A 13,938-nucleotide genomic window follows, 5' to 3' on the forward strand; every position below is an offset into this window, starting at 1 on the left:
GCATGCCCCCTTTTCACTCTCAGGTTTAAAACAAATAAAGGCAGATTTAAGGAAATTCTCGGATGATCCTGATAACCATATAGATATTCTGCAAAGATTGGGGCAGTCCTTTGATCTAACATGGAGAGAGATCATGTTACTTCTTGATCAGACCTTAAATTCTACTGAAAAATAAGCAGCAGGGTGTTATAAAACTGCTTCTCTCTGCTCTCACAATGGCCATACATATCACCAAGGAAAAATGATCCAAGCTGACTGCCCTGAGAAATGGGGAGCCAATGCTTGCTGGACATATTATACACATATAGGTACGTCTGATGGAGGAGGCGTCCAAGATGAGGCTAAAGAAGGGCATATCCAATCACTTTTAATCCAAGTGATTAAAAACTTAGTCTAGCTCTCTAGTACTCCCAGTCCATACAAGCAATTTGACCTTTCCAGGCTACAAGAAACCCTTAAGTCTCATTCTCGTCTCTGGAGCCTGTTAAACACCACCCTTACAGGAATGCAAGAGGCCTCTCCTAGTAATCCAACCAACTGTTGGATGTGTCCCCCTTTCTTTTTCAACCATATGTCCCAGTCCCTGTCCCTGGACAGTGGAACTTATCCACCCCAGTCCTAAACACCACCAAATCAATCGGTCCCATAGTCACCAATTTACCAGCCACAAAGGCCTCAAATCTCACATGTATAAACTTCAGCATGACTCTCAATAAGAACACCTCCCGATGTCAGTCCTAGATATCAGTAACCTCAGGTTTCACCTGTCTAACTTCAGGCATCTTTTTCATCTATGATAAAACAGCCTATTGATGCCTAAATGGCACTCCAAAAGAATTATGCTTTCTCTCCTTTCTAGCACCTCCCATGTCCATATGTACTGAAAAAGAGTTACAAAGTCTTCTTATACCCCAATCCCACCACACATGAGCCCTTCCTTATTGTACCTTTTATTGTAGGAGCCGAAATATTGCACAGGCTTGGGACTGAAATTGGAGGTATAACCTCCTCCACCCAATTATATTATAAATTATCACAGGAATTAAATGATGACATGGAATGAGTTGCCAACTCCCTAGTGACCCTACAAGCCCAGCTTAATTCTCTAGCTGTGGTAGTCCTCCAAAACTGAAGAGCCCTAGACATATTAACAGCTGAAAGAGGAGGAACCTGCCTCTTCATAAGAGAAGAATGTTGCTATTTCATTAACCAGTCAAGAATCATTACTGAAAAGGTCAAAGAAATAAGAGAACGGATAGAAAGTAGGAAAAAGGAGCTTGAACACTCAGGACCGTGAAATATGTTTAACCAATGCATACCTGTGACAGCCATCCTACTATTACTCGCCTTTGGGCCTTTCATTTTTAACCTCCTTGTCAAATTGGTTTCCTCCATGATCGAGGCCATCAAGCTACAAATGGTCTTACAAATGGAACCTCAAATAAGCTCAACTCACGGCTTCTACGGAGGACCCCTGTCTCAACCTGCTGGTCCTTCGACTGGCCTAAAAATTTCCCCTCTGGAGGACACCACAACTGCAGGGCGCTTTCTTTGCTCCTAAGCAGCAGGAAGTAGCCAGACCAACTGCCGCTCAGTTCCCAACAGCAGTTGGGGTGTCCTGTTTAGAGGGGGGACTGACAGGTGCCAGCTGGGTTTCCCGAGTCGAGTAGGGGAAACTCACTCATTTCCTGCATCAGGACTTACTTCAGTCCTGGATGAATAATGTTGAAAATATATGCTTAAAATATTCCTAACACCAGGATTTGTGCATGTGTTTTCTTCCCCAAGAAAGCTATCAACAGTGAAAATTTTGCTGTAAGTTTCCCTGTGTCCTCTCTCCCTTCCCCCTCCCCCGAAACTAAAAGGTATGTTAACTGCCCATTTTTCTGTGACCAGCAGACTTTATCTATACTCCCAATTCCAATTCCTTGTAAACATACTTTGTAAAGTCCTGTGAGATCCTGTATCCTTTGCCATGCCGCTGCAAGGTCATAAAGTAGATGAAACCTAAGTTGCAATTCTGGTTTTCCTCAAAATCTAAGACATGTCACAAAATAATATTTGCTGCCTTTGTTCCTTGCTCTGGTAACATCTTCCCGCTGAACGTATTTCCTGACTTAAAGAGTTTAAAAGACAGTCGTATAATCTAACTCTGGCTACCCATTCGGGACCCCTTCCAGAGTGAAGGCTTTGTACTTTCACTCTGCTCAATAAAGCCTACAGCTTTTTTTCTCTCTCTCAGTCCGTGTCTCTATCACTCCCTGGCGGCAGGAATCTTAGGCATTACAGTATTACTATCAAGTTGACCATAATTTATTACACTTTCAATGTTTAAACCAAATTTTGACAACTGTCCTCAAGAACTTCAGAATTTAATCACACATCATACTTACCAAAGAAACAGGCCCTCAGATATAAATTCTGTCAACTTCATATTCCAGATTTAGTAACTTTTAAAATTTTCTTTTGGTTCTTGCCTGAGAAGTGCCACTAGTTTTTGCCAAAAATGAGGTTTTCATGTGACCCAGGATTAAAACAACTCCCAAATTTTAGGGAAAAGCCTTAGTCTCTAAATCCTTCCTTATCTCTAGAATTGTTCACTCTGCCCCTCTCCTAGGTCTTCTGCCTCTGCATTGAAGCAAGAGTCCTCCCATGGCCACAGATCCTAATTTACCACCCATGTCTTCTTTATATAGCCAAGATTCTTGAAAGGAAGTACACTTGCTTTTCTTTTGTTTATTAGATTGTTCTTGGCCACAACACTGCTTTAAAAGTGCCACTATGTTAATCACCTAAAATATTTCTATAAAGAATTATTTAATTAACAACATAAATGCATACTACTGTTTATTGATTTTACCTTATTTCTCAAATACCAACATAGTCTTGCTATATTCCAAGCACTTTAAAAGTTTTAACTCATGTACTCTTTTGATAAAGAGTGCAATCAACCCTATGAGGTATGTACTATTTCTGTTCCCCTTTACAAATGATAAAATAGTCACTGAGAGGATCCATAACTTTTCTAAGGCCACACAGCTAGCAAGTGGCAGAACTAGAATTTGAACACTATCATCTACTTCTACAGCATTAGCATCTACTTTTAGCTACCTCTTAAATATTAGCATTTTATAATGTTTAATAATATTTTAAATGCAATCAATAGATAAATGTAAATATCTTCTTTATCCACCCTTTATCTCCCCAAAATAATAAACATTCTCCCAAATATGCCACCTTCCATTCTATGAATGTTTTATATTACTAATCATGTAAGTGTCCATAAAATATACTTTATATAAATACTATTATATTTTCTAAAATAGTTTGCAATCTATTTTTCCTTGCTCATTATCCAAGGATAAACTCTAATGCACATTATGACTCACATCTTTCTCATACATTCATTTTCACTACTGTATTGTTTCTGTAGTACTAGAATATATTTTTCTGTTTTACTCTTTGTGTCATTCCTTTTTTTTTTTTTTTTTTTTTGGCACAGGTAGCTGAGGTTTGTGTTGGGAAAAAAAAAATTGAATTCTTTTGTAGCTGGAGGCATGGGCAAGGGGGCTACCTCAGGCAGTAAACTCCCCCGCCAGTGGGCTGAGGGCAAGAGCTGAGCCTCAGGTGGGTCTCCTGTTCCCTGTGCTCCCCTGCGCAGTGGCCTCCCTCAGGGGCTCTGGGGCAGCCGCAGGAGGGGTATGCTGAGAGGGTCTGCTATGGTTGTTCACTTGGAGCAGGACGTCAGAGGACTCGGACACTAGCTTCCCATCGCGGGTCTCCATCTTCACAACCAAGGCCCTGGTGGAGCTGGTGCAGCTGAAGGAGCTGGAGCCCAGCCAGAGCCAAAGCTGGAGCCCGGGCGTAGCTGAGGCCGGGAGTTGTGAGGTCCCCATAGGCTGAGATCAGGGCATCTGCATAGCCGCTAGTGGTCTTCCCATGGATACTCCTGTTCTGCAATCCAGACTCCAGCAGGCTCTCCTCGCCCTCCAGCAGCTTCCTGTAGGTGGCGATCTCGATGTCCAGGGCCAGCTTGATGTTCATCAGCTCCTGGTACTCGCCCGCAGCTGCTGCTCCAAGTCCTGCTTGGCCCGCTGTAGGGCAGCCACCAGCTCGGACAGCTTGGCCTTGGCATCTTTAACAGCTAGCTCCCTGCGCTGCTCGGCAACTGTGATGGAGGCCTCCAGGGAAGCCCTCTGGCATTTGAGGCCCTCAGTCTCAGCCTGGAGCTGGCTGATGTTCCGATTCATCTTGGAGATCTCAGTCTTTGTGAGCTGCAGGTCATCCCCGTGCTTCCCAGCCAGTGTCTGCAGCTCCTCATACTTGATCTGGTACATGCTCTCAGCCTCAGCCCTGCTGTGCTTGGACAGCATCATTGCAAAGGTCAAGGCGCAGTCCGACGAGATTGCCAAGCGCAGCAGGGCTGAGGTGCGGCCGTTGTCCACGGACAGCACCACAGACGTGTCCCAGATCTGGGATACGGTTAATTGCCACAGCACCATTTACTAAAGAGTCTATAAAATGTCCCATATGTCTTTAAGCAGTTTTAAGTAGTTTATGCACTTCAATAGCATAGATGCTATAGCTTTTTAAAAAAATATATAATTATTTGAAATTTATTTTCCAATCATTTAGTTTCGTGAATTTTGAATTTAAAAAATGTTCTTTAAGACCCCTCCTTAACGGTTGATGGATTTAGCAAGTAGCAATATAAGATGTTCGGATAAATTTAAATTTCACGTAACAATACTTTTTCCCTGTAAGCATGTCCTAAATATTGCATGGGGCATGATTATAATAAAAAAGTTATTATTTATATGAAATTCAAATTTATCTGGAATCCCTGTCCTTTATCTACTTTTGTTTTTATGATGATTTTTATGATGATTAAAACAAAAGTAGAGAACTAAAAATTTATTTTAGTACTTCCTATTGATAAAAATAAAATTAGATGTTAATTATAGAAAGTTCACAAAGCTAAAAATTTAGAATAAATTTGAATGGTCAAACCTCAATACCTGTTTTATTGTGAATTTTCAGCATTTACCGCTTAATTTTCATTGATCTTTTGAGACATCCTATATATGTTCAGTTCTCTGAATTTCTATTTCATTTCTGTTCTGCAAACCTTTGATCTTGCCTTTTACCAAATTCAATTTTTTTCTTCTTTTTTAACAATAAGTGTATTTTGTGTATAATTACCATGTGTTTGAAGCAAAGGGGCTCATAAAATGAATTCATCCAAATGTATTAATCAAAATTCACTCATGAATAACTAATTGCCCAATCTAGTAACAATTTGACTCCTTATTTTCCTATTCTTTAGGAAGCATTTGACATTTCTGGCTGGGCGCAGTGGCTCATGCCTGTAATCCCAGCACTTTGGGAGGGCAAGGCAGGTGAATCACTGGAGATCAGGAGTTTGAGACCAGCCTAGTCAACATGGTGAAACCCCGTCCCTACTAAAAATACAAAAATGAGTGGGGTGTGGTGGCACACGCCTGTAATTCCAGCGGCTCAGGAGGCTGAGGCAGGAGAATCTCTTGAACTTGGGAAGCAAAGGTTGCAGTGAGTTGAGATGGCACCACTGCACTCCAGACTAGGTGAGAGAGTGAGACTCTGTCTCAAAAAAAAAAAAAAAAAATATATATATATATATATATATAGAGAGAGAGAGAGAGAGAGAGAGAGAGATACATTTCTGACCACTCCTATTTTATAAGGCTATTTCTTTTGCTTTCTTCTGCCTTTCAGTAGCTTTCATTTTTCTAACCTTCTGCCCTTTTATTATGTTTATTATGTCCATTCAGATATCCCACATCTATAATCTCAAGGATTTTGTCCCTAGCAGAGTTACTTATTTTTTAATATAATCCCCTTCTTCATAAATGAGCTCATCAGATTTGCAGCATAAATTAAACATACACATTGGCAGCCCTTACTGTATTGTTACAGTACAGCCCTTTCTCTACATTAGAAGTATGATTTGACACATGTGTCTAACAGTCTCTGAACAGCCTTTATTAGATTACACTTAATCTGTTATTAATGGAAGTGCTTATCTTACCCTACTTCTGTTTAAATATTTCACCTGTCCCGGTTTCTGTATCTTGATGGTGGATAACGACCACTCACCAGAATTGCCCAAGTCAAATATATAAAAGGAAAGAGTGTCTTCTTGGTATCTGCTCTCAAATTGAGCACAATTTTTATTAATTCAATCTCCTAATTATTTTTCCAAACTATCATTTTTGTATTCCTCCTCTAATGTGTCTTATATGATTTTATTCCAAAATTCAACCTTTAAAAATTGCATTAATTACTGAAGTATTTCCTAACACAGCTCCTTGGCTTTAGTTTTACTTCCCAGAGAAGGGTACTTCTCTCTTTGCCAGATTGAAGTTTTTTAATAAAATCGGATCATACGCACAATCCTTTAATTGAGTTTTTGTGTGTCATGCAAAGCCATTCACAGTCTGGCACATGTCAACTTTTCCAAATACATCTACAACTTACCAAATGGATAGTGTTTGAAGCCTACTAAATTTTATATTCAACTACCAAACAATCTGGGGTCTCTGTTATTATTCAAACTATTTGTTTCCCCTGTCTACCAAGAACACTTCTGCTGTAGAATTGTACTGCCCTGTTTCAGTGAAATCAGATTTAGCCTGTGATTTCCTTTGAACACTGAAAAATATATAGATGTAATATACATCACTTTTCAGCAAAGCTATGTAGAAGTTCATTCTTGAGTCTGCCATATGTCTTTTTCCTCTACCACAAAGTTGTTCCATCTGTCTTGGTCCCCGAGCAGTAGCTGAGCCACAGTGATAATAAATATTACTAAGAAATAAATTTTTGTTGTAACTTACTATAATGAGAAGATCATTATTCAGCATAACAACCCAATTTGGTGCACTGATACATTGCTCATGTTCTCTCATGACTCTGCCCTAGAATGAACTGGATGTTTTGCTTAGAGGCTAGTTGTATGCTTGATATCTAATACTACTCATAATTGATATACCAAGTGAGGCATCATGTCTTCCAATCTGATTTGTGGTCTTTCCTGTATTATTATACTGACCTCTATTTTAGAATATATTATACTAGTTTATAAATTTCAATTATCTATATTCTCCTTTTAAGTCCCTTCAGAGCAAGATCTTTCCTGTTTGCATATCAGTAATTATTGTTGTGATTAGCACAACATATATGAGGGACTTCAAAAAATTCATGAAAATGTTTATTATGAAAAACTATGCATGGTTTTCAAAAACAATTTTCACCAAAATAAATTCATACTAGCTTTTAAAAACAAGTCTGAACAAGATCTGGTTTGAGGCACTGAAAAGTATAAATCAACAGTTTGAAAAGAGCCCCTATCAAAGCAACATGAATTCTGCTAAAATCGAAACAAGAACAAACATCAAATTTATGCTGAAGCTTGGGTGAAAGAATGGTGAAATCACTGATGCTTTACAGAAAAGTTTATGGGGATAATTCCCTAAAGAAATCAGTACTTTAAAAATGGATAACCTGTTTCAGGAAGGGACAAAACCCTGTTGAAGATGAAGCCCACAGAGGCAGACCATCCACATCAACTTTGGAGGAAAAAAAAACTTGTTCTCAAAATCTTGTATAATCAATATATATTAGTTTAAATAATAAAGGTATCAACTAGCAGTATAAAGATAGAATTATTTTCACATGTATTTACATCTCTTGAGGTTAAGAGATTGAGACCAGATTTTCTGAGAACATAGCAAATAAACAGAGAATCAGAGACTCGAATCTTAACGTATTTCCAAATCTTGATTTTTTTTCTCCCAATACTCCAAGATTGATATTTGGGTCAGCAGTTAGTGAAAAATTCTTATCTGTAAATAACAATTTACAGATTGTTATTGAATAGTTATTATTGTTATTGAATTTTAATAGAAATAGTTAATAAATAACAATCTTTATCTGTAAATACTTACTCTTGGAGTAAGTAACTCACTGAGGAGTGTGTCAGAAAATGTGGTTGTTTTCCTTATTTGCCAAAATGTAAAAATATAGAGAAAGATCCTGTGATCCTAAAATATTCACAAAACTGCCCTTCGTGATGAGCTTCAACTCAATACAGAAGGGAATTATCAGCAATAAAAGCAAGGAGCAATTATCTCCATAATTTTGTGAATGCCATCTAATTTGAATCTGTAATGGACAGCAAATGAAATTATGCTCAATGTAGTTCCTGAAACTTTGTTTCCCATCCTGTATGTCATTCAGTAAATGGGAATTGCATTCATCCTGCCTAATTTTATTTGAATTATTCTACTTCATATGTCAAAATCAGTTTTTAAGACCTATAATTTCTAACTTTAAGCCATGACATACACACAGTTTCTTACTTTTCTATTCTCACTGACATGGCCTTAAAGCAAGTCCTGTACTTTTCATCCTCGATGAATGAAATCATCTTTAAAATTATTTCTTAACTTCCAAGTTATCCACTTATTTTCAACAAATTATGTTCTGCAAATGTCAGTTTCACATTGTCTCCCAAACTTTATCATTTGCTATAATTGACTGAAAACAAATTCTTATGCTTTCTTTGTGTGGGTAAAATTGATAATTCTTCTGGAGGTAAATCTGGAGAGATTGGATAAACCTGGTATACTTGCCAAATGATTTAAGATCCCAATCCCATCTCAAATTACTCGAAGTTGATGGAATAATATATTAATAAGTATGAAGGTGCTATAATGTGACAGAGAGAAGTGATAAGTTTCAGTAAGAGAGCATAGGGTTCTGGTTCCTGACAATAAGGTAGACCAGCATAGACTTCAGCTTTTCTTCCAAAAAATAAATCCAGGGGCTAGGCGCGGTGCCTCACACTTGTAATCCTAGCACTTTGAGAGGCCAAGGTGGGCAGATTGCCTGAGCTCAGGAGTTCGCGACCAGTCTGGGCAACATAGTGAAACCCTGTCTCTACTAAAATACAAAAGATGGGTGTGGCGGCATACACCTGTTGTTCCAGCTATTTGGGAGGCTGAGGCAGGAGAATTGCTTGAACCCGGGAGGTTGAGCTTGCAGTGAGGCAAGATCACACCACTGCACTCCAGACTGGTCGACAGAACGAGACTCTGTCTCTACAAAAACAAACAAACAAATAAACCCAAGAAAACCTACAGAATTAAAATGGATAATTGGAACTGTATTTAAAGTGAAATAAAGTGAGAAACATCATTGTCTATGCTGTCATCATACACACACACCCCCCCCCACACACACACACCAAGCATTATCGGTTCAGAATGTGATTCAGAATGTGCAGTGTTTGCAGGTATATGAGTATGCCACATCCTTGCTGGGTGACATATTGATAAAAGAAGGTTATCGATAACCAGTTATTTTAGACGTTTACTTTATTAACCCGTTTCTCTAAATTTCGAGTGTTCGTAGAATAAAAATTAAATGAAATGTCTCCTCCCTCGCTAGAGAGTTTCTGAGTGAAGTAGCATCAAATTGGGTTAGCTGGCAGTGCCTTTGTGTTCCCTGACACTCTATTTGAAGTCTACTCTTATCCTCTTTTTAAGCTCACATTCACAAACCCAACTTGAGGCCTGTACTTTTGCCTTACTTCTGTACACATAACTAGACAGGAATGCTCATATTCCAAGCTGAATGTACACACATAACCAAAATAATTACACATCTGAGAAAAGGAACCACCATTATAGAAAGCGAGAATAATAAACACCGTTCGCCTCATGAAGCAGAGCTTCAGAAATGGATACAATTTTTCTGAGATGCCATAGGACAAACAGTAATTATAAAATAAACACTAAGAAATAGAAAATATAAAGTTAAAAATGACAGAGAATGAATTAAATATCTTTGGAAAGAGAAAACATGCATATAAATGTTAATAATAATGAATATAAACCTGTAAATCAAAACTAACACCATTCAAATTCAAGGGTCTCAGAGGATGCCACCTGGGTTATATAATCAAAATTATACACCTAGATTAAATTTAATAAGATAAAAAATACATCCTGAAAACTTCAGAGAAAAAAATAATCTACAAATAAACAAAAATAAAATTGATGTTAGCTTTTTCAATAGCAGCATGGGATTTAATAATATATTGTAGTTATATTTTTATAGAAATGTGATAAAAGAAATTTGAACCTAGAGTTATACCTGTATTCAAAACTGTATTTAATTTTCAGGGCAATAAAAATGTTCTGAGGCACACAAGAACTCAAAAGCATGTTATGTTAGCTAGGCTTCTCTAGAGGGACAGAACTAATAGGATAGATGTATATATGAAGGGGAGTTTATTAAGGAGCATTGACTCACATGATCACAAGGTGAAGTCCCACAATAGGCCATCTGCAAGCTGAGGAGCCAGTCTGAGACCCAAACGCTCAAAAGTAGGGAAGCTGAAAGTACAGCCTTCAGACTGTGGCCAAAGGCCCCAGAGCCCCTGACAAATCACTGGCATAAGTCCATAGTCCAAAAGCTGAAGAACTTGGAGTCTGATGTTCAAGGGCAGGAAGCATCCAGCACAGGAGAAACGTGAAGGCTGGAAGACACAAAGTCTGCTCTTTACAACTTCTTGTGCCTGCTTTTTTCTAGCTGTGCTGGCAGCTGATAAGATTGTACCCACCCAGATTGAGGGTGGATCTGCCTCTCCCAGTCCGCTGACTCAAATGTTAACCTCCTTTGGCAACACCCTCACAGACACACACAGAAACAATGTTTTGTATCCTTCAATCCAATCAAGTTGACACTCAATATTAACCATCACACTTGTCAAATGAAGGCAAATTTTTAAAACATTCTTTCAGAAAGTACTTGAGAAATAAATTCAAAATAATGTTAAAAAATATGGAAGAAATGATAATCAAATAATTTAGTAACTTAATCATGAATTGCCAAATAAAAATTAGAGGCATAAAAACAAAATTTCTAGACAATATCAACATGGGAATACGTGAGAAAGTATATGAGAGACTGCTAATTAATTGCTTTTAAAAATAACAGTTTTATTGAGATATAATTGATATATCAGAGAATTCACCTTTTAAGAAGACACAGTTAATTATTTTTACTATATTCACAGAGTTGTATATTCATCACCACAATCACTTGTACATTTTAATCATTCCCAAAAGCACACTTGTACCAATTAGCAGTAATTCTGTATTTTCCTCCAAACACCTGTTAAATTAAATTTAATTTGGCCCAAACAAGCCTCTACACTTGGGTGAAAAATTTGGCCCAAAGCAGCTGCATATAGTGAACTGCCACCTAGCTTAATGTGTAAGCAACTTGTAATCCATCTAAGAGTGTACCCTCATACACAGGCAACTGAGTCTCAGCCAGTCTTAGTAGCTAAACCCTCAGCCAATCCCAGGCTGAAGGCTGCCAAATTATGCCCATATAAGGCAAACATGGAACTTTCTGGTTACAATCAGTAATCTCTGTAGGGCATTTTTTGCTTGTTTTTATTTTTATAATACAGTTCACAATTCTTTTTTGTAGAATTTGACTAGTAGATTCTGTCTTACGCTGTTTTCACATTGCTATAAAGAAATATTTGAGACTGGGTCATTTAAAAGAAAAAGATTAATTGGCTCACAGTTCTGCAAGCTGTACAGGAGGCACAGCGATCACGGCTGAAGGCAAAGAAGGAGCAGGCACATTACATGGTAAAATCATGAGCGAGCGAGAGAGAGACAGAAAGGAAGAGAGAGAGAGAGAGAGACAGAGGAGAGAAACAGACAGAGAGAGAGAGACAGAGGAGAGAAACAGACAGAGAGAGAGAGACAGAAAGAGAATGCAAGAGTTGGGGGAGAGTTGCCACATGCTTTTAAATGACCAGATCTTGTGTGAACTCAGAGCAAGACTTATCATTAAGGGAATGGTCCAAGTCATTCACGAGAAGTCTGCCCGCATGATCCAAACACCTCCCACAAGGCCCCATCTCAAACACTGGGGATTACAATTCAACATGAGATTTAGGTGGGACATCCAAACCATATCAGATTCCAAAATTCACAGGGAGTAGCAAGAGATCCATAATTGCCAAAATTATCTTGAAAAAAGATGGTTCAGAATGCGGCCCAGTTCTCAATCTGTTTATTGCTCAAGTACAGTTCATTAAATTTAACTGTTAATATGTTTTCTTTAACATCCTCAACTATAGGCAACCACAAATCTTTTTTATTTCTCTATGGATTTGGCTACTCTGAAATTTTTAAAAAATAAAATCATACAATTTGTGTTCTGATGACTGGCATCTTTCATGTATCATGATATTTGCAAGGTTCATTCATATGAAGGAAAGGTGTAAAACTATTTCTATCCACAGATGACATGATCCTATATAAATAGAAAATTTCAAGAAATTTTATTAATAAATAATTAGGACTAATAAATGAATTCAGAAAGAAAAATCAGGAAACAAAATCAATATATTCAAATCAAGTTTGTATACACTTGAAGGATCTGGAAATAAATGTATTCTTTTTATAGTAGCATCAAAAATAATAAAATACTGGGGAATACATTTTTAAAAAAGAAATACAAAACTTTACTATGAGAATTAGAAGAGATTGTTGAAGAAAATAAAAGAAAACCTAAATAAAGGAAAAACATCCCATGATCATAGGTCAGAAGATTCAATATTGTTCAAGTGTTAACACTCTCCAAATTTATCTTCAGTTTTAATGCAATACCAACTAGAATAGCAGCTGACTTAGTTGTAAAATTTGACTAGTAGAATATAAAATTTCTATGGAATGGCAAGGCATCCAGAATTGTTAAAATAATCTTGAAAACAAAGTTGAAGGACTCACACTTCTTGACTTCAAAACTGACTACAAAATGATGGTAACCAAGACAATGTAGTACTGCCACAAGTATGGACAATATAGATCAATGGTATAGAATTGGGATTCCAGAAATAAAACCATGTGTTTATGATCAAGTAATTTACAACAAGAGAATCAAAACCCATCCAATGGGAAATTAACAGTCTTCCAATAAATGTTGCTGGGACAACTGAATACCCACATGTAAAAAAATTAACCCCTGTATTGTATGTTATACAAATATTAACTAAAAATTGATTAAATATCTAAATGTATCAGTTGAAAGTATACAACTCTGTGAAGAAAATATAGGCATAAGCCTTCATGACATTGATTTCTTAGAAAATATGATTTCTTAGCTATGACACCCAAAGCTCAAGCAACAAAAATAAAAATAGATAAATTGACATAATCCATGAAACCCAAAACTTTTGTTCTAGAAAAGACATCATTAAAGAGTGAAAAGACAACCCAAAATATTGGAGAATATTTTTGTAAATCATATATCTGATAAGGGACTTGTATCCAGGATTTATACAAGGAATTGTTACCACTCTATAATATAGAGACAAATAGCACAATTTTAATAATGGACATTAGAGTTGAATAGACATGTCTCCAAAGAAGATATGAAAATGGCAAATAAGCACATGAAAAGATGTTCAAAATCCTTACCTATTAGAAAATTCCAAATCAAAACCATAATAAAATACTACTTCATAACACTAGGATGGCTATAATAAAAAATTCTAATAGTAATAAAAACTTTGGTGAAGATATGGAGGAACTGGGACCCTTGTATTATGTTGAATGTAAAATGGTGCATCTGCTATGGAAAAAAGTCTAGAGTGATCCTCAGAAAGTTAAACATATATTTACCAAATAACCTAGCAATTCTACTCCTAGGTGTATATGCAAGTATATATGAAATGGAAACATTTGCAACAAAAAAACCTGTCAATAAATGTTAACAGCAGCATTATTTATAATAGCCAAAAAGTGTAAACAACTGAAGTTTCTGCCAACTGATAAAGGACCAAATAGAATGTAGCATATCTATATA

The 13,938-nt window shown here is 37.0% G+C and overlaps 1 pseudogene; it reads right to left on the reverse strand.

Moving 5' to 3' along the window:
* On the reverse strand, positions 3,494 to 4,478 carry KRT8P2 (keratin 8 pseudogene 2; annotated as a pseudogene).

This window comes from Homo sapiens, chromosome 14, assembly GCF_000001405.40.
Source record: "Homo sapiens chromosome 14, GRCh38.p14 Primary Assembly".
Taxonomy (NCBI): Eukaryota; Metazoa; Chordata; class Mammalia; order Primates; family Hominidae; genus Homo; species Homo sapiens.